At 36.4% G+C, this 21,389-nt stretch overlaps 1 protein-coding gene across 4 annotated transcripts in view; it reads left to right on the plus strand.

Moving 5' to 3' along the window:
- Window positions 1-21,389, plus strand: part of TBC1D23 (TBC1 domain family member 23) — a 64,247-nt gene that overhangs the window by 26,615 nt on the left and 16,243 nt on the right. For 2 of the 4 annotated variants that reach the window (NM_001199198.3, NM_018309.5), the window contains exons 5-13: window positions 2,972-3,095; window positions 7,481-7,605; window positions 7,696-7,742; window positions 8,566-8,669; window positions 10,317-10,439; window positions 11,633-11,725; window positions 14,461-14,631; window positions 17,240-17,282; window positions 18,831-18,937. In NM_001199198.3, the coding sequence (NP_001186127.1) occupies window positions 2,972-3,095; window positions 7,481-7,605; window positions 7,696-7,742; window positions 8,566-8,669; window positions 10,317-10,439; window positions 11,633-11,725; window positions 14,461-14,631; window positions 17,240-17,282; window positions 18,831-18,937 (937 nt within the window). Of the gene's footprint in view, window positions 1-2,971; window positions 3,110-7,238; window positions 7,357-7,480; window positions 7,606-7,695; window positions 7,743-8,565; window positions 8,670-10,316; window positions 10,440-11,632; window positions 11,726-14,460; window positions 14,632-17,239; window positions 17,283-18,830; window positions 18,938-21,389 lie in introns of those variants that run through there. The other 2 variants (XM_047448562.1, XM_017006841.3) reach the window with 2 other exon arrangements.

The raw sequence follows: 21,389 nt of genomic DNA on the forward strand, positions 1-21,389 counted from the left end.
AATCTAGTTCTGTGTCTGGGCATCTCAATTGCCAACCTGGGGCCTTTTCTATAAAACTTCCTTCCACCTGCAGTATCAAAAAGTGATAGATTGAGAGTCATACAAATCCTGACATTGACCTCACATCTTAGATTTTAGAAATTATTTTTATTTTTCCCTTTAAATTACATTGTAAAACATTTTTTTTTCTTTTTTGATAACAAGATCTTACTATGTTGTCTAGGCTGGTCTTGAAAACCTGGTCTCAAGTGATCCTCCCTCCTCAGCCTCCTGAGTAGCTGGGACTACACGTACATGCCACTCTGCCCTGCTTAAAACACTCCTTATTAATGCTGTCATGTTAAAACTGTGAGGCCAGGTGCAGTGACTCACACCTGTAATCCCAGCCACTTTGGGAGGCCAGGGCAGGCAGATCACTTGACCCCAGGAGTTTGAGACCAGCCGAGGCAACATAGTGAGACCCTGATCCTACAAAAAAAATTTTTTTAATTAGCCAGGCATGAGGGCATGCATCTGTAGTCCCAGCTACTCAGGAGGCTAAGTGGGGAGGATCACCTGAGCCCAGGGAGGTCGAGGCTGAAGTGAGCCATGATCCTGCCACTACACTCCAGCCTGGGCAACAGTGAGACCCTGTCTAAAAAAAAAAAAAATTAAAAAATTAAAAAAAACTGTCATTCATTTCATTGACTTTTTTACATGAGGCTTTTTACTTCATTTTCTTTACAGTTTGCTTTTTTAGAGATGGGACCCCTACAAAAATACCACTTGTTGAAATATTGAGTTAGATATGGAAGGGGGCAGTATGGCATAATGACTTAAGGTCCAGTTTCTGTATACAAGTCTTAGCTCCATCACTTCTTGGCTATTTTACCTTCAGTGAGCTACCTGACTTTAGTTGAGCCTCAGTTTTCCCATCTGTAAATTGGGTATATATTTCATAGGATTGTTTGATAAAATGTAAGATAAAATGAAATAACTTTGTAAAATGCTTATTACATTGTCTGGCACATGGTATTTCCTCAATAAATAGTTGACTTTTATTATGATGGCCTGTGCTTTGACCTGTTTATAAGTTTTTGCTGATTCATTAGATACATTCTTGCCTCCTTCCCTTGTAATAGTAGAATGTATCTCAGTACAAAAGCTGAATGGAGTAAATTTATAGAATTGAGGAATTAGTGAAGCCTACTGGTCTAACTGAAGATTGAGTTAGTCAGCATCTTGTTAACAGTAACACCATACTTTAACCAAACTGTCTGGAATTAACTGTGTTTTCAGTATTGCTTTTTGTTTTTAACTGTACGGGTTAAAAAGTAACTACCTCTGGCCCGGCATGGTGGCTCATGCCTGTAATCCCAGCAATTTGGGAGGCCGAGGAGGGAGGATCGCTTGAGCCCAGGAGTTCGAGACCAGCCTGGGCAACATGAAGAAACCCTGTCTCTACCAAAAATACAAAAATCGCCTGGGCATGGTGGATGTACCTGTAGTCCCAGCTGCTTGGGAGGCTGAGGTGGGAGGGTGGTTTGAGCCCAGGACGCAAAGAGGTTGCAGTGAGCCGAGATCACGCCATTGCACTCCAACCTGAGTGACAGAGCTAGACCCTGTCTTAAAAAAACAAAACAAAAAAAACCCAAAAAACATGTAATTATCTCCCTATATCCAGTAAGATCCACTACCAAATATCTGGTATCTTTTAAGAGTTTTTTTCCATGAAGTATTCTGTTTGAGTTATCACAAACATGGACACAAGAAAATGAACTAATGTGAACATAATAGTATCTAACAAATCCTCTGGGCTCGAAAGGTTTTCTAAGAGTGCTGTGTATGTGGGAGTTAGAAGATAATGCTTCTGAATTTGAGATCAGGGACTGAGCATGGAAAGAGGAAGTAACTATACTTCCTGAGGAGTGAGTCTAGTTCATGGACCACATCTGGAACTGCTCCAAGGGTTTGTTATCTCTGGGCTCAGATGCTTGGGTGCCTGGGTAGAGGGACAGTACTTTTCAGATCAAGACTGTGAGTGGCTGCTGTGACCCGTGGCAGAGGAATCTTCTTAGAGCTGAGCAGGCTGAGATGCTTCCTGAGATGATGACTAGAAACTGTAGGAAATCCATGGCCCAAAATGCATCTGTAGGTGCTTTGTAATTATTTCTAACTTTTATTCTAGGTTTAGGGGTACGTGTGCAGGTTTGTTATATAAATAAATTGTGTGTTACGGGGGTTTGGTGTACAGATTATTTCACCACCCAGGTAATAAGTAGAGTACCTTCTTTCTACTTTTGAAGTCTCTGACAGGAAAAGGTAATATTTGTTTTTAAAAAGCCTTTAGATAAAAATGTTAATGTACATGTTTGGTGCCTTTTACTTTAAAACAACATTCAGATCCAATTTTTCCATTTTGCTCTCACAATAACCCTTAGAAGTAGGACAGTTATTGAACAAGATGAGTATTTTGGCACCTTCTGGAATTTGCTCTGAGGAGTTGGTACTTGGGCCGCTTCAACAGTTTTTAAGGCCATTATTTCTGAAATGTTCACCTGCCCATTTCAGACTTGTACTTTGCTAAAGGACATTCCTGATTGAGTATATAAACTGTGGAGCTAACCTGAAGCCTAGTTTCTAGAAGTTCCTCTTTTTTGGCAGAGAAGGAAGGACTCCCCAGATCTCCTTTTGGGATCTCAGCCTTATCAAAATAACCTAAATTTGTTTTCAGTGATCCCTGTAGTTCTCTCACTGGAGTGCTGCCTGGGTTCACCTGTGAGAATGTCCCTAGAGTGGCTTTAGACCTACTGTTTCTGCAACTTTTGTCAAGTCAGGGACATTGAAAAAGGTATTAGCAAGAGACCTCTGCCTGCTACTGTCAGGTAGGCTTCCAGTGAATGCTGTGGAGGGTATAGCAGGAAGATTGGTTACTGATGTGATTATTTCTGATCTGTTAATGCAAAAAAATTTTGCTTCTCTTGTCTTCTAGGGATTGTTCCCAGAAAGGGAGACCATTTCATCTCTTCAGGTTGCTCATCCAATACCATGAGCCTGAGCTTTGTTCTTATCTTGATACAAAGAAAATTACTCCAGACTCCTATGCACTCAACTGGGTAATAAAGTGAAAGTAGGAACATTTAATGAAAAATAGATTTATGTAAAGCTATAGTTAGGTGGGTTTTTTTTTTCAAGGAAGAGAAAGAAAAGTCCTAATTATAGATCATTACTGTTTAAACCAAAGGGGTAAAATTATTGGCATTTCAAAATAACTTTTTTTGCCCTTCACTCATGTTAGTTCAGCTTATTTGATATGAAGTTCACTTTTATTGTTTTACATGTATGTGTAAATGTAACTATTTACAACTAATTACAAATAAATATTACAACTCATATTTACATATATGTAATAAATATGAATATGTACATGTAATATATGATACATATATCAGTTCAATTGAGAACTTTGTTTAAATTGTTGATGGTGTGTATAAGAATTGGTATACAGTCACAAGGAAAATGACTTAAGGTTATCAAATGGTTAATATAAAAGAATATAAAGTATAACGCTGTGCTCTATCATTCTGTATTTTATTTTCAATGGGAAGTCTTACTTTAGGTCAGTGGTCCTTAAACCTTTTGGTGTCAGGACCCTTTACACTCTTAAAATTTGTTGATGATCCATATGGATTATATTGAGAAGTTGTTAAAACTAGACTAGGCGCAGTGGCTCACGCCTGCAATCCCAGCACTTTGGGAGGCTAAGGAAGGTGGATCACTTGATGTCAGAAGTTTGATACAAGCCTGGCCAACATGGCGAAACTTGTCTCTACTAAAAATACAAAAATTAGTCGGGTGTGGTGGCGTGTACCTGTAATCCCAGCTACTTGGGAGGCTGAGGCAGGAGAAATCACTTGAACCTGGGAGGCGGAGGTTGCAGTGAGCCGAGATTGCACCACTGCACTCCAGCCTGGGCAACAGAGTGAGACTCTGTCTCAAAAAAAAAAAAAAAATTAAGGAATTTTAAATGTTTATTAATTTATTTAAAAGTAATTATAAATTTATTACATGTTGATATAAGTAGCCTATTTTAAAATAAACAACTATTTTCCAAAAGAAAATTAGAGTAGTGGCATTGTTTTATGTTTTTGCAAATCTCATTAATGTTTGGCTACATCAAAGATGGATTATCATATCTGCTTTTTTTTTTCTTTTTTTTTTTTTTTGAGATGGAGTTTCACTCTTGTCGCCTAGGCTGGAGTGCCGTGGCTCCCAGGTTAAGCGATTCTTCTGCCTCAGCCTCCCAAGTAGCTTGGATTACAGGTGCCGGCCACCATGCCCGGCTAATTTTGTAATTTTAGTAAAGACGGGGTTTCACCACGATGGCCAGGCTGGTCTCGAACTCCTAACCTCAGGTGATCTGCTCACTTCAGCCTCCCAAAGTGCTGGGATTACAGGCCTGAGCCACCACACCTGGCCCTTATTTCAATCTGTGATAATATCACATATCATGTAGGCGTTGGAAAATTCTATTGTTCATTTTCGAGGGAATATATATGCAAAAGGCAGGTAAATTCTACATATTTGTGTAACAATAGTTTTGACCTTACAGATCCTTTGTAAAGAATCCTGGGGACTTCTACGAGGTCCCCAGACCACACTTCTGGTTAACTGCTGCTCTTCTGGTTAACTTGAGATCTTTCTAAAACAATGATTGGGTCCTAGGAGACTATATGTTCATATCCTTTTATTATGTATTACTTAACTTTTCTTCAGGAAGAATCCCATTTCTTCCCATTATTAACTGTGTGATCTAAGACAGCCTCTGAGCTTCAATTCCTCATCTGCAAAGTGGAAATAATAGTACTGTACCTACTTCAGAGGATGATAGGATGAGTTAACAATCAGGAAATGGGTAATTGGAGAATTCTAACTGGTTTCACTTCTGGGCTCATTAAATCTCAAACCTCAGTAACCTGTTCTTTAATTCCCTCTTGGCCACAGTCTTGTCAGTTTTTTGTTTTTGTTTTTGAGACGAGGTCTTGCTCTGGTCTCTCAGGCTGCAGTGCAGTGGCACAGTCTTGGCTCACTGCAAGCTCCACCTCCTGGGCTCAAGTGATTCTCCCACCTCAGCCTCCTGAGTAGCTGGGACCACAGGCATGCACCACCACACTTGGCTAATGTTTTAATTTTTTTGTAGAGTCAAGGTCTCACCATATTGCCTGAGCTGGTCTCAATCTCCTGGGCTCAAGCAATCCTCTCACGCAGGCCTCCCAAAGTGCAGGGATTACAGGTGTGAGCCAAGCCTAGTCTTGTCAAAACTGTAGCTTCTCTGAGATTCATATGTTGCCACTGAATCTACCTATTTATGTTAAGGTAGTAAACTATTTTTCTTAGGCATTTTAATAATAGAGGTCTCTCTGCCTAGGAAATGCCATTTCTGATGCCAGAGCTCTGAATTCGTGCTGATAGCTGGAGGTTTAAACTGAGTGGTTTCTCTTCAGCTGATATGCCAGATAGTTTGTTTGTTTGTTTGTTTGTTTACTTATTTATTTATTTATTTATTTTGTGAGACGGAGTCTCTTTCACCCAGACTGGAGTGCAGTGGCATGATCTTGGCTCACTGCAAGCTCCGCCTCCTGGGTTCACGCCATTCTTCTGCCTCAGCCTCCCGAGTAGTTGGCACTGCAGGCGCCCGCCACCACACCCGGCTAATTTTTTGTATTTTTATTAGAGATGGGATTTCACCATGTTAGCCAGGATGGTCTCGATCTCCTGACCTCGTGATCCACCCGCCTCGGCCTCCCAAAGTGCTGGGATTACAGGCGTGAGCCACTGTGCCTGGCCTCAGATAGTTTACTCTTGCTACTAGTATCATGTTGATGAAATAGAGTTTTTTAAGTATCATGAGATGAAACAATTAAAAAGTAATTCCTAAACCACTGTGAGCAATGCAGTGGTAACTTTCGTTGAGCTAAGTGAGCTTAAAGATGACTGTGTATTGCTATTCTGTTTGTATGTACCTCTTCTAATCTGTGTTTGTAATCGTAATTTTTAAAGCAACCACAAAAAACATTAGTAGCATTATGTATTTTAAAAGCCTTGTGGTCAAGTGTGATGGCAATTACATGGGCTGTGGAATCTCAGGCTTTTTTCTGTTCCCAACACCACTCACTAGCTCTGTGAGCTTGAGAAAGTAAAGTAATCCAAGTTCCTCGCCTGAAAAAAATGGGGAGTAATTGAAATCTACTTTCTCACCTGTAAAATGGGGAGAAATGTGTTTACTTTCCAGGCCTGTTTTGAGAATTTAAATCAGAGATATTTTTAATGATACGTGATAATAGTTTAGTATTAGCTTAGTATTGCACACCTGTTGTGAGAATTTAAGTAAGAGATATTTTTAATGGTATGTGATAATAGTTTAGTATTAGCTTAGTATTGCACAAAGAGTGCACTAAATATATGTGTTCCCGTTAATTCTCTTTAGCTGTTAAAAATTTTTTAAATTTAAACTTGTAGATGGAATTATTTCTGTATCTAATGAAAGTTGAATGATCTAAAAATATTACTTCATGCAACTTAAAACACAGTTGGGCTGTAGAGTTGCTTATAAATTAACAACTCTTAGCTCCTGAAATTTATTGAAGGATATGAATGTTATTTATTTTTTTTTGTGTTTATTTTTTTTTTTTTGAGACAGAGTCTCACTCTGTCACCCAGGCTGGAGTGCAGTGGTGAGATCTCTTCTCACTGCAACCTCTGCCTCCCAGGTTCAAGTGATTCTCCTGCCTCAGCCTCCCAAGTAGCTGGGACTACAGACACGTGCCATCATGCCTGGCTAATTTTTGTATTTTTAGTAGAGACGGGGTTTCACTATGTTGGCCAGGTTGGTCTCAAACTCCTGACCTCAGGTGATCCACCCACCTTGGCCTCCTAAAGTGTTGGGTTTACAGGTGTGAGCCACTGCGCCCGGCCTAATCTCTTTCAAGTGATGTACAAGTGAGCTTTGGGAGCAATTCATATTTATATTATGATTAAAGTTTTATTAGCTGCTCTTAAATTACCACGTTTGATCCTCACAATTACCTTGTAATTTAAATACTGTGCTGTTATTATATTGTAATTATTTTAGTTACTCTTATGGAGCTCAGACCATAATTATGCTAGTTATGCTATGGCAAAGATATGTGCTAGTTACTTTAGGTATTCTTTTCACAATAATAGTAGAAGATGGGTAGCATTATTCCTCTTTTTTACAGAAGTAAAAATGGAAGCTTTAAAGAGGTTGACATGTCCTAAGTCACACAGTTAATATGTGGCTCCATTGTCCCTTGAATTCACATGTTTTGCCTTTGGATTTCATACACTAAGATTAAGGTACGCATTAAATATCAGGTGCAGATAATTTGATATAATGTTTCTTATTCATTTGCTTTAATACTTTTAAGAGAACAAGTCACCTCCAGTGGTTTATGTCTCTCATTTCATTTCCTGATTACAGCTTGGAAGTCTTTTTGCATGTTACTGTTCCACTGAAGTCACTCAGGCAATATGGGATGGATATCTACAACAAGCAGATCCATTTTTTATTTATTTCTTAATGTTAATTATCCTTGTTAATGCAAAGTAAGTATCTGGTTGGTTAGATTTTTTTTCCTCTTTTCTCAGGGTGCTCTGTTAATATTTAACTCAAATTGATTTGATTCCCTTTTACAGAGAAGTTATTTTAACACAAGAGTCAGACAGCAAAGAAGAAGTTATCAGTAAGTATCATTTAATGTAGTGAAAACATTTCAGGTCTCTTTATCTGTGTAAGTTACTCAGTTTCCTCATTCGTAAATTTAGGAGATTAGTCTAGAAGAGCTCTGAGGCTCCATTCAACTCTCAGATTATATAAACACTCTCCAGGTACAGACCTTAAAGACTATTTTCCTTTATTTTGCCATCTTCATTCATTCCTTCATATTTGTTCACTCTTTCATTCCTTTCCATATACTATTTCATTAGTTTCACTGTTCGAATAGATTGCCCTCCTCTGTTCCTCCCTACCCATCCTTAATTTACCTTTCAATACTCAGTTTATATGATATTTCAATTGTGAAACCTTGGTTCTCCTTTTGGATTCTCCCCACCATATCCCCCACATAGAGATAGTTACTTCCTCTCTATATTCCCTGGCACTTTGTTCTATCTGTATAACAATGTTTATCTTACTGTATTATAATGATTTATTTTTATTTTTTCACACAAGACAAAGTTCTTTAAGTCAGTAACTATTTCTTAGGCATTTTTTATGTTCAGGGGCCTTGGCATTTCTTCATATATGTTTAATAAATAAATCATAGAATTCTAATTAAGGTTAATGAATTTGATTTGATTGCCTGACACTATCCTTCACTGACAAGAGATTTACATTAGCCGTTTCAGCTCATTTGGAGAAATCCACTTTTCCACAAGTCATTGTAAAAGCACCAGTGTTGAGACTCCATTTGCATAGTATTTATGATGAAGATATTTCGGCTCTGATACATAAACAATATTTGCATTTTTCACAAACTACTAAATATTATGTCTATAATATTTCAGAGTTCTTGGAAAATACTCCATCCAGTCTGAATATAGAAGATATAGAAGACCTTTTCTCTCTGGCTCAGTATTATTGCAGCAAAACACCGGCTTCTTTTAGGAAGGTATAAGACCAGAAATGACCAACTATGTTGTATTTCATATTTTGTACATTGTTTTATTACTTTATATTCACTTTAGTTAAAATAGGTTGTCAATTTTTTCTGTTTCTTTATGTGTTGTAGTTTTGTGTGATTTTTTTTTTTCATCTCTGTAAATACCCTCCCTAGTGGAGGAACAGACAAGTTAAAAAGATAGTAGAACGCATCTTACCTCTCTTCTGATTATTGTTATTTCTGATCATAAGAAAATTGACTGAGATATTTTCTAAATTAGTGCTTTCTTGACTTTAAAAATTATATTACAGGGCCGGGCGTGGTGGCTCACGCCTGTAATCCCAGCACTTTGGGAGGCCAAGGTGGGTGGATCACGAGGTCGGGAGATCGAGACCATCCTGGCTAACACGGTGAAACCCTATCTTTACTAAGAAATACAAAAAATTAGCCGGGCGTGGTGGTGGGCGCCTGTAGTCCCAGCTACTCGGGAGGCTGAGGAAGGAGAATGGCGTGAACCCAGGAGGCGGAGTTTGCAGTGAGCTGAGATTGTGCCACTGCACTCCAGCCTGGGCGACAGAGTGAAGACTCTGTCTCAAAAAAAAAAAAAAAAAAATTATATTACAGTAGTAATCCAGTGGAGGAGGTAGAGTTTTGCCACTTTTCTCTGGAGTTCAGGCTTGTATAGTCTTAATAATGCTGAGCTGTCTTATAAAGAAAGGTCATTTAGGCCCCGTAAAGACTTAGATCCTTAGACCAGACAGATGCCTAATAAAGGACACCAGATTAGAAGTATGAGTGATGTGAACTCCTGAAAAATGAAACTCTAAGAAGCAAAAGCTAATAGTGGAAGAGGCACAAGTTTATAAAGCAGACAGGTTTGTATGTGACTTCAGGTGCCCATGAGAGCACCTTTTTTTTTAAAGCATTCTGCCATAATAATTTCTAGTTGGTACTCATCGTGTCACTGAAGTGTCAAGATAAAGTTAAGTTATGTTTAGTATACTGTGTTTTAGAAAGCAGGTAAAGGAAACCTTTTAAGATCATTTTCCCTCAAAAATAACTAATTTAAAAAGACTTATTTCTAGGGACCAGTTTCAACTATTTTAATAATTTTCTTATATAGAACTCTTCAGTTCCTAACAATGCTGTATAAGTCAGATGGTAGGATAGTAGTTTAAAATACTGAATGAAAAAGAAGTCTTATTTTTTTTCTTATTCAAGAGCTGCACCTTTTATTCTTCAGACATAGTGAAACTGTACTAGCAGTTGTGAATTAGAGCAGGCTGTGGATCAGTATTTTAACTCATTTATGCAATAGATTTCTGCCACATATTTGTTTTTATTAAGATATGAAAAATTGTAAGTAACCATTTTTAAAGTTCAATATTAACTACAGGTGGTAGTATAGAAAATAGCTATTTAGAATGTGTTTTTTTTTTCTTAGTCTTTCATTTTGTATGAACACTGACAGGGACTTTATGTGACATTTTTGTAGTTCTTAGCCTATAAAATTTGAGATTATGTAGTATTAAGTTTTAAAAAATCACAACTCAAGAGTATTATAATTTTACCTTTTATCATGGTTTAATAAGAATATTTTTAGGAAGAAAGTTTGATTTTTTTTTTCATAATGTTTAAAAATTTCCCTTCAAACAGGATAATCACCATCTCTTTGGTAGTACTTTGTTGGGAATTAAGGATGATGATGCAGATCTGAGTCAGGCTCTTTGTCTGGCCATCTCCGTGTCAGAGATCCTTCAAGCGAATCAGCTACAAGGGGTAAGTAAAGGAAACCCAGTTTGTTAGGGGACTGTTCATTTTAAATACAAGGAACCAACTTCCTCCCTGTTCATTGATTCCCACAAAATCAATTTACTGCAACAAGGTGGCTCTTTTGGCTTTTTGAATGATTGTGTTAAATGTTATGTTCAGAGGGTCATTTTAAAACTTGTCAGCTTGTGTGGTGTTTTAATTGTCTACAATTAATTATTGTTGACATTCTTGACACCAGTTTTTGTAAATCGCCGTATCTTTTTTCCATATTTCAGTAGAGCAACTGAATGTGGCATTGTATAAAATACTTTTAAAAGGGTGAATTTAGCATTTAACAGTTTCTGGTAGTTTACAGCTAATTGAATTACATGGTTTAGTTCCATACAACTTATAGCAAAGGAGAATTGTGAAAATGAAATTTTCTTCATGAAAATCTAATAAGTCAATTTGACCAATGATGTTTTTAATATATGGTCTTTATTACTAGTAGTGCAGCAGTTAACCATGGTGTGTATTTGGAAGGTGTAGTGTATTTCCAAGGTTGAGGGCAGGAAAGGAATGGACGTGGGAAAATAGCCTTTTATGGTAGATCTTTCTTAGTTGGATTTCTTACTGTATCTGCGCTGGTTATTGAGGATTTTCAAAATACAAGCATCTCACTTTTTTCTTATTCAAACTAATATTTAAAAACAAATGAAAACATGTTATCCAGTTTAAAGAGATCCATGTGAACTTCTTTAGTTGAAACTGGTATTTCAGAACATTCTCCCTTCATCCCCCCACACGAAATAGATGTTTAGTTCTTACGTGAATTGAGCTGTTGATAAATTTGCAGATTTATTTGCAAAAAAGAATAGCATATCTAGAGTTGTGTTTATAACTATATAGCGTTTTATAATTAGTTTTATAATTAATTATAATTAGTTTTATAGCTCAAACAGACACTCTCCTTCTATGTATTTTAAGACTTTCCAGTAAAGAACAACATCTAAAAAAGAAAAATGTTTTAACTGTTTAAAAGAAATAAAAGTATTTAGGACCTTCGGGTTATTTTCTGTGCTAACTAGGTCCTCCCAATTCCATGTGAGATCCATTTTTTAATGAACTTGTTCCCTTTATTTGGTTAACTGTGAATATTATGTTGTGCAATGTGAACCTCATGGGAAATTCCTGTATGTCAAATGTTGTTTCCGTTTTAGGAAGGAGTCCGGTTCTTTGTGGTGGATTGCCGTCCTGCAGAACAATATAATGCTGGGCATTTATCAACTGCTTTCCACTTAGATTCAGACCTGGTTAGTATAAATGCTGATTAATTATTCTTAAAGTAACTTTTTTTCCTTCAGTTCATAAATAAATATATAGGTCCCAGATTGGGGAATTTTTTTCTTTCTGCTTAAGGAGGGAGTCTCTGCCCTTATGAGAAAAGTGTTGCTGTCAGGTTTCCTTTTCACCCAAATACCCTTTTGTGTTTTTGTTGTTGTTTGTTTGTTTGTTTGTTTCGCTTTTGTTGCCCAGGCAGGAGTGCAATGGTGCGATCTCGGCTCACTGCAACCTCTGCCTCCTGGGTTCAAGCTATTCTCCTGCCTCACCCTCCCTAGTAGGTGGGATTACAGGCACCCACCACCAGGCCCGGCTAATTTTTTGTATTTTTAGTAGAGACGGGCTTTCACCATGTTGGCCAGGCTGGTCTCGAACTCCTGACCTCAGGTGATCCCCCTGCCTCAGCCTCCCAAAGTGTTGGGATTATAGGCGTGAGCCACCACGCCCAGCCCAGATACCCTTTTGGCATTATAAAGGGTAGTTGAAAACAATGCTCACTATGGCTTACTATCGCTTACCATTTTTATGTCAGTAAATTCTGAACTTAGTTTGAGCTACCTAGTATAGCACTTAGCATAGTGCACTGCACCTACTAAGTACTCTCTGGATATCAGCTCTTACTGTAATTGAGTAAGAATTCTGTAGGCTTTATAGTATGAGCCATTTTTAATCATGAGTATTTATGCATATAATAAACTAATATTTAATAAGGGTAGTATCTGGCATATAAGTACTTAGTTATTAAAACTACTATCCTAGGTCATTTAATTTGAAGAATGGTAAATAATTGTCAGAGATGTATAGAGCTGTTGGTAGAATTGAGGCTAACATCATTTAAGCCATTCTGGGATCATTAAAGCCTCAGGGATGGGGAACACAGGAATGGGATGAGAAACCTCTTAGCTAAATGTTAAGTCTACCTTTCCCCTTCCCAACTCGTCTGAAAAATTTGATGCTGAACTGAAAGGGTGTGTGAAAGGGCCTAGGTAATATTGAGGAAGAACTAACAGATATTGTGAGAAAGGCCATCTTAGCTCATCCATATTCTGTAGGTGAACTCTGTGCCTTTCTCTTCCTTGATTCCTCTCTCCTTCCTATTTTAAAAATTTACTCAAGTGATTCATGAATACTTGAATTAATTTTTTTTTTTTTTTTTTTTGAGACAGAGTTTCTACTCTGCCACTCAGGCTGGAGTACAGTGTTATGATCTTGGCTCACTGCAACCTCAGCCTCCCAGGTTCTGGCGATTCCCTAGCCTCAGCCTCCCGAGTAACTGGGACTGCAGGTGTGCGCCACCATGCCTGGCTAATTTTTTTTACTTTTAGTAGAGGAGGGGGTTCATGTTGGCCAGGCTGGTCTCAAACTCCCAGCTTCAAGTGATCTGCCCACCTTGGCCTCCCAAAGTGCAGGGATTACAGGCGTGAGTCACCATGCCCGGCTTGAATTTTTAAAAATTTTTAAAGAATATTATCAGCTTACGTAATCTTCCAGACTTTTAATATCTGTTTACATATTTTTTGTTTTGCCACTTGATTTTTCACGTAACAGTTTCTAAGAGATCTTTTGATTTAAGTACATTCTTTCTAATGATGCATAGTGGTCCATGGTACATGTAGGTATACTATAATTTATTGCCTGATTGATGTATATGTGGGTTATTTTTTGTTTTCTTGTAATAATGCTGCATTTGACATCTTTTTATACATTTTGTGAACTTATGCAAATATTTCTGTAAAATAGATTCTTAAAAGTAAAATTGTTTTGATGAGGTGTGTGGATATATACATTTTACTAGAGACCACCGTATTGCCCTTTAAAAAGGTGGAACCCAGCTATTTGGGAGGCGGAGGTTGCGGTGAGCCGAGATCGCACCAGTGCACTCCAGCCTGGGTGACAGAGGGAGATTCCGTCTCAAAAAAAAAAAAAAAAAAATGGTGGAACCTTCTTACGTTTCAGAACTCTAAATGAGAATGCCATTGGCATTATTGGATATTATCAATCTTTTCTTATCTTACCAGAGTGATGAGTGAAAAATAGTTGTGATTACCGATGAGGTTGAACATTATTTTTTGTGAGTGTGCTGTTTATATTTGCTTTTGTTTTTTACAAATTGCTTTTCTATATGATCTGTCCATTTTTCTATTTTTCACCATACTTTTTGTGTATCTCCATTAAAACAGTTTTTAAACATCTTTGTAGTTATTGTCGTACTTGTTTCCTTGAGGGTAAGAAATGAATATTTCATCCTTGTGTCTCCGTTACCTGGAATAGTGCTGATAAACAAATGCCTTCTGTTATTTCTGACAATCCTCTAAGAAACACATGGTTTACCATCTAAGGGGAAACTAAAAAATAGAGCTTGTTTTGATCTATAGTTTTATACTCTTTCTGTCTTGATATCTAAGGATACTGTTGCTACTTGTTATTTAAGAAAAAACAAGAACAACAAACAGTTTTTCTCTAGTAGAGAATTATTTTCTTTGCATCAATCTTTGTGTGAATGTTCAACTTTTGTTCTATTGTATTATAGATACATTTATAAATATTTCTCTTATCCCAGGGATTTTATTTATAAGAGCCTTTTTTTCCCCTTCATTTTCATTGTGGCTCTTTAAATATTGGGGTTTTTCCTAAAAAAAATTTCAAATTTACAAATATATGTGAAACACAGGCTTGTCAAGTTTTTAACTTTAAAAAAATTGTCTAGATGCTTCAGAATCCATCTGAGTTTGCACAGTCAGTAAAATCCTTGCTGGAAGCACAGAAGCAGTCCATTGAGTCTGGCTCCATAGCTGGTGGGGAGCACCTCTGTTTTATGGGCAGTGGCAGGGAGGAAGAAGACATGTATATGAACATGGTCCTGGCACACTTTTTACAGGTATGCTGACATAAATTATTTCAGTTTTGTTTGGTTAATGTTATCACCTTTAAAAAATTTACATAGATAACTTTTTGCTTGTCAGATTTATCTGTACTTTTCTTGGTTTTGTGACTTGTTAAGGTCTTCTCCAGATTTTTCTCATATGCTTATATGATTTTTTTATATTTAACTCAAACCATCTGGCATTTATTTTGTGTAAGAAGTAAGATAGGAATTAAAAAATATTTCTCCAGATAGCTTACAAATTGTACAGTTTGAAATACCACCTTATTAATATACCGAGTTCCTCTATGCATCAAGATCTATTTCTGGATTATTATGTTATTTGATCTTTTATTTTTTTTCTATTTGTTATTATTTTTTTGAAATGGAGTCTTGCTCTGTCGCCCAGGCTGGAGTGCAGTGGCGCCATCTTGACTCAGTGCAACCTCTGCATCCTGGATTCAAACAATTTTCCTGCCTTAGCCTCTCGAGTAGCTGGGCTACAGGCACACGCCACCACGCTTGACTAGTTTTTGTATTTGTAGTAGAGATGGGGTTTCACTGTGTTGGCCAGGCTGACATAGTGATCTCCGGACCTCAAGTGATCCGCCCTCCTCGGCCTCCTAGAGTGCTGGAATTACAGGCATGAGCCACTGTGCCTGGCCTATTATGTTACATTGATCTTTATGTGTATTTATGTCCTAGTACTTTTTACAGTAACTATATGATTCATTTTAATATCTTCATTTGAAACTGAATAAATACATATGCATATTCATTCACAACACCTAGCCATCTTTCCTTTTTGTGTTTAAATATTGTCTTCAACACAACTAATTTGAATTAGTGATTTTATGCAACCTGTTTCTCTGCTTTTTTAAAAATGTCACTCAGTGATGGCTTGTTTTTTATTATAATAGTTGCTTATTAGGTATTCTTTGGCAGTTTATGTATTAAAGTCCTTACTTTGTATGGTCCTGAACTATGGAATCAGCAAGATGGTAGGCATGGTACACAAGCCACTCAATTTGGATTCATTTCTATTTATGTTGTATTTTACTGGGAATCTGGTTTGAAAAAATTAGTTTAAAGATGAAATCCTTGAAAAGCAAAATCAGAGAAGGAACAGGATATTTGGGAGAGGAATTGTAGGATAATTTTAAATTTTATTAAAGGAAAGAGTTTAGAAGCATACAGAATAACAAAAATAAGGAACCAAACTCATTTCATTCATAAATTTAACTGGTCTACTCTAAAAATGCTTCAGGCCAGGCACAGTGGCTCCCACCTATAATCCCAATACTTTGGTAGACTGAGATGGGAGGATCACTTGAGCCCAGGAGTTCAAGACCACCCTGGGCAACATAATGAGACCCTGTCTCTACAAAAAATAAAAATATTAACTGTGTGTGGATGTGCTCACCTGTAGTCCAAGCTACTTGGGAGGCTGAGGCAGGAGAATCGCATGAGCTGGGAGATTGAGGCTGCAGTGAGCCATAGTCATGCCACTGTACTCCAGCCTGGGTGACAGAGCGAGACCCTATTCTCAAAAACAAAATAAAATAAAAACGCTTCAGTATAAACTATACTGTATATTGTAAGGGCTGTCATAGGGCAAGAGTTTGGAATATTGTGAACTTTTTTTTAATTATTCGAGTTCTTTATGTGGTTTTATACATTTTTTCCCCAACTTTTATTATGGAAAGTTTCAAGGAAATTGAAAAGTAGGGAGAACTGAATGCCATAAACTCATTATGAAGACATAACCACATCATTATCATACTTTATTAAAAAAAATTTAACTAGTGTTCAAGTTTCCCTGATTTTCCTAAGATCTAAAACAAGATGTTGACATTTGGTTGATGTCTTTTAAGTTTCTTTTAGTTTATAGGTTCCTTTTTAAAATTTTTTCCTTGCATGTATTTGTTGGGAAAAGCAGTTAATTTGTGTTATAGAGTTCCCCACATTCTGGATTTTGCTGATTACATTCACATGGTGTCATTTATCATGTTCTGTCCCTGGTATTTTCTGTAAGCCAGTAGTTTAGAGATGTGTTCAGACTTCTTTGTTTAGGGGAAGGAGGTTCTGAGGGGGTGATGCCTGCCTCTTTTAGATGATAAATACTATTTAGATGTCTTTTTTGTGTTTCTCTTTTTTTTTATTTATATTACTTAGATCCATTATGTTTTTAGTAGTTTGCAAAATGGTAACATTCCCTTATTTCTTCATAATTAGCTGTAATGTTTCTTTTTATATTATCTTTTAATAAAGGACCCAAAATATTTTGAAAGCTTTTAAAAATCACTCTGATTACATCCTAAAATACTGTTTAACTAATTTTGGTTTGACCATTGCACTATTGAAACAATAATACAAGCAAAATCAAGACTTGTTAATAGCCTTGAAGTTGTTCCCTTCTTCCCACCCAAGCACCAGAACTTACAATGCATAATAAGGTAAATGGATATACCTCTCTCTGCCAAAGTCCAAAATGTCAAGGAAATGAGAAAGCCCGGTAATTTAATGTATCACTTGGTATTGTATTTATCAGTGTTTTAGAACTAGCTAAAGTTTTAATTAAGTCGCAGTTTTGGAAGAATTTAAATTTTCTTTTCCATTACAGAAAAACAAAGAATATGTGAGTATTGCCAGTGGAGGATTTATGGGTAAGATTTTGATTTATTAGTTTTTTTCCTCTATGTTTCAGAAGAAATTGTATTGATTATCAATAGAGTTGATCTGGAGTGGTCACATTAGTTAAAGGGTAGACTCTTCATTCATTCAATATTTTCAGAAAAGGCAAGGCCAGGAGGACTTACAGATAACAGACAAACGTAATAGGCAATTGAAATTGGTGACTATTTGATGTAAGACTATTTTAATAGATTTGTTTCCAAAAAATATTTTTGTAAAGATGAATGAAAAACTGCCCATATGATTGCCTCTATGGAGAAGAAGGATTAAATGATGGGACAGGGAAGGAAGACTTCAAGGAATACTTTTTATAGTATACCCTTTGGACTCTTTAGGTGTTTTGTTATTTTATTTTTGAACTACTTGAAGGTATTCTCTGTTTAAAAAATGTTAGCTAAGTGGAACAAAATAAACTGATATTTTCAGAACTGCAGACTAATATTTAATAATCTAGGAGAGTAAAATAATTGGCAGGATCTCTGCAGGCAAGTATTGAGAATTTTACTTTGCAGTAAATAAGATTTTAAAAGAGTAATAAGATTTTAAAAGAGCCTGTCTTACATTAGAAAAAGAGATACTACAAAAATACTGAGCTGTAAATGCTGGGGAAAATTAATGATCAAATCAAATCAATATGTAAGAATCACATGCTGACCAGTTGTGCAACTGAAGCTCCAAAAATCAAATCAGTATATGTTGAGGGTAATGGAATCTTAGGCTTTAATCATGGGAGTTAGGCTGTAACTTAGGATTTTGGGAACATTAGGATGTATTTCCTCCTGGTCATTGTTGATATTAACAAGGATTATGATTATCTTCTGTATATCATGACCTGATAACTAATGACTTTTGAGGTTCATACCCAGAGTGATGTACAAAAGGGGTTATTTTAATAAGTAGTGTTAAACATGTATTGGCCCTAGGCTCAGTGTTATTTATTAGGAATCCTGGTAACGATATAAAACTTGATTATTAAGCTTGTAATTCTCAAAAGTGTCTGAAAAGCATTCTTTTATAGTATAACCCAGATTTTAGAAAATTTTTTAAAACCATGAAGTATTTCTTTACCAAGAATAATCTCTCTTTCCGTAACTGTTAATGGCTAACAATGCTTCTTTATTATGGGAGAGATTGATTGATATCTCCTTATGGTATAACAAAAGTCACAATCGGTTTTCTGTTATCCTTTATGTCATAAAAATGTTGCAGAAATTATCTGTTAATACTTGAAAGATTTCCTTTCAAAGAAGAAAACGTAAAGCCTATACAGTTATCATCACATTGGCGTCAGTTAAGAAAAGTTATCCGTGTACAGAGGGTTTTAGAAGGAAGAATAGGAAGGTTTGCTCTAGCTTGGAGGCCTTTACTCCTTTACAGACGTGCAGAAAGAAATACCTGTGATTATTTCCTTCAGTCCTTTTTTCTCAGCTGTGACATGTTTATTGTATTTCGTTGGTAATGAATTTTTCCAAAGAGTGTTGATATTTTAGGTTTTTCTTTTTTTTTTAATTTATCTTAAGCACTGCAGCAGCACCTGGCAGACATTAATGTGGATGGACCAGAAAATGGATATGGCCATTGGATTGCTAGTACCTCAGGCTCAAGGAGCAGTATCAATTCTGTTGATGTAAGTATATGTAGAGAATATGTTACCGGATTTGGATAAGTTCCCAGAAAAGGTGATTAACTACTAAACCCCCACCATAACAGAAATGGAGTCAAAACATTTCAAACACATGCAATGAAGAGTCATATTATTGTGAGATTAATGAGATGATACAGCAAGCCATTATTTATTGTGAGATTAATGAAATGATACAGCAAGCCTTCACAGTTAAACTAGGTGGGAGCTCTTGAAGTTCAGCTGCTGAATTCAAATTTCTCCCTGTCCAGCTGTAGTTTGGTATCATGTAGTGACAGTTTTATGTTCCAGCTTAAATATCAATGGGGACAAATCTGGGTCCTGTAAATAGCTGGGACTCTTAAGCAAGCTGATTCCAGGCATCTCCCAGTTAGTTTTTGCCAGAATACTAGGGCTCATAATCATCTCGTGCACACTATGTCTGTACCCATCCCCATCACAGACTTAAATGATTTGGACTTGAGTCTATCCACATTTGAGAATTGGCCAGGCAGAGGAAGACAAGAACAAGTTGCCAATCCTATTTTATTTGATTTTTAGTTATTGAGATGTGTATTACTACCCAGTTTTGCTACAGTGGATAAATCTGTTTTTCTGTTCTTTGGAAATATTTGGGTAATAGGTCTTTTGTGCTTTTCCAGTACTTCAATATTTCATGTCAGTTGAATTAGATGTCATTAAATTATTCATAAATAATGGTCCTCACATACCTAGTGATTATTCTTTAAAACAGAAATAGAAGGAAAACTGCAGTACAAGGTCACAGTTAGTAGCTTGGGCTTACAGGTCTGACATACCTGGGTTCAGATTTCATCTACAACTTACTTTCTTCATGATCTCCAGCAAGATCTTTGAGCTGTGGTTTCTCCACCTGTGGAATATAAATGTTAACAACATAACCTTCTTTCTAAGGATAACTTGAGAATTAACAGTGCAAGTAAATGGAAAGTATAGTACCTGTCACCAGATATTTAATAGTAGTTATTACGAAATTGTAACTCACTACCTGTGTTAGTTGAGGTTTATCTTCAGCCATGCAAATCAAAATCAGATTATTTTCACATCAGCAGATAAGGTTTGTCTGAGAATCTTATTTTTAATTTGATACTCTTATTTTTAACTTGATGCCATTGTGTGAAATCACCATTACTTAGTAAACGTTTGCTATTTTCACTTTAAATAACTAAATAATATTTCATTTTATGGGTGTATTATAATTTATTCAGTTCTCTATTGTTCAATATTTACATTGTTTCCAGTTTTTTTCTGTTACAAACACTATTTAATTTTTGTAGTGATAAATTTGCATATGCCATGATTATTTTGTCCTGGAAGTGGAATAACTTGATTAAAATGTTACCAAAGTCCTTAGACTTCTGCATTATTATCAAATGGCTCTCCAAAAAACATTCTAATTTATATTCCCATTCACATCACTGGATAGTTTTTCTATTGAAGCTTTTATATTCAGATTTGAAAAACACTGATTGAGGCTATTTTAGAAATTATCTTAAAGAGCATTCTTTTCAAAGTACCAAAGAATTTTTACAGTTTAATTTGGCTCTGAATTTAGATATGGAAATAGAAACATAATTTTTTTTGTTGTTAATGACATTTCTTCTAAAAATGAAAGTAGGCCGGGCACAGTGGCTCACGCCTGTAATCCCAGTACTTTGGGAGGCTGAGGCGGGCAGATCACGAGGTCAGGAGATCAAGACCATCCTGGATAACACGGTGAAACCCCGTCTCTACTAAAAATACAAAAAAATAGCCGGGCGTGGTGGCAGGCGCCTGTAGTCCCAGCTGCTCGGGAGGCTGAGGCAGGAGAATGGTGTGAACCCGGGAGGCGGAGCTTGCAGTGAGCCCACATCCCGCCACTGCACTCCAGTCTCTGGGCGACAGAACGAGACTCCGTCTCAAAAAAAAAAAAAAATTTGAAAGTAACAGATGTTCATTTTAGCATCATATGTAAATAAGAAAAGTATAAAGAAAATAAAATCACCTGTAGCTGTTACCAGAGATAATTTTGCCATTCATATTTTAAAGTATTTTCATCAAACCCTTTTTAGTGAATGTGTTTCTTTATTTTAAAAGTAGTGATCATAGCATACCTAGAATTTTATTTTCTGCTTTTTCACTAAACATATGAGCATTTTCTAGCATTTTAAAATGCTATTTAAAAATAATATGAGTTTGTAATGGCTGTATAATTTTCCATCAAATAGTACCCAAATTTCTGGGCACTTCCTTCTCATTAATTCTAAAGAGGAATTAATTGGCAGAAAATAGGATCACTTTTAAATGTTTGACACCCATCACGAAGTTGCCTTCTAGGAAGGTATATATGAGCAATCCCATGAAACAATTTAAGAATTAATACAGCCATGCATGGTGGCTCATGCTTGTAATCCCAGCATTATGGGAATCCGAGGCAGAT

Source organism: Homo sapiens, chromosome 3 (genome assembly GCF_000001405.40).
Source record: "Homo sapiens chromosome 3, GRCh38.p14 Primary Assembly".
Classification (NCBI taxonomy): domain Eukaryota; kingdom Metazoa; phylum Chordata; class Mammalia; order Primates; family Hominidae; genus Homo; species Homo sapiens.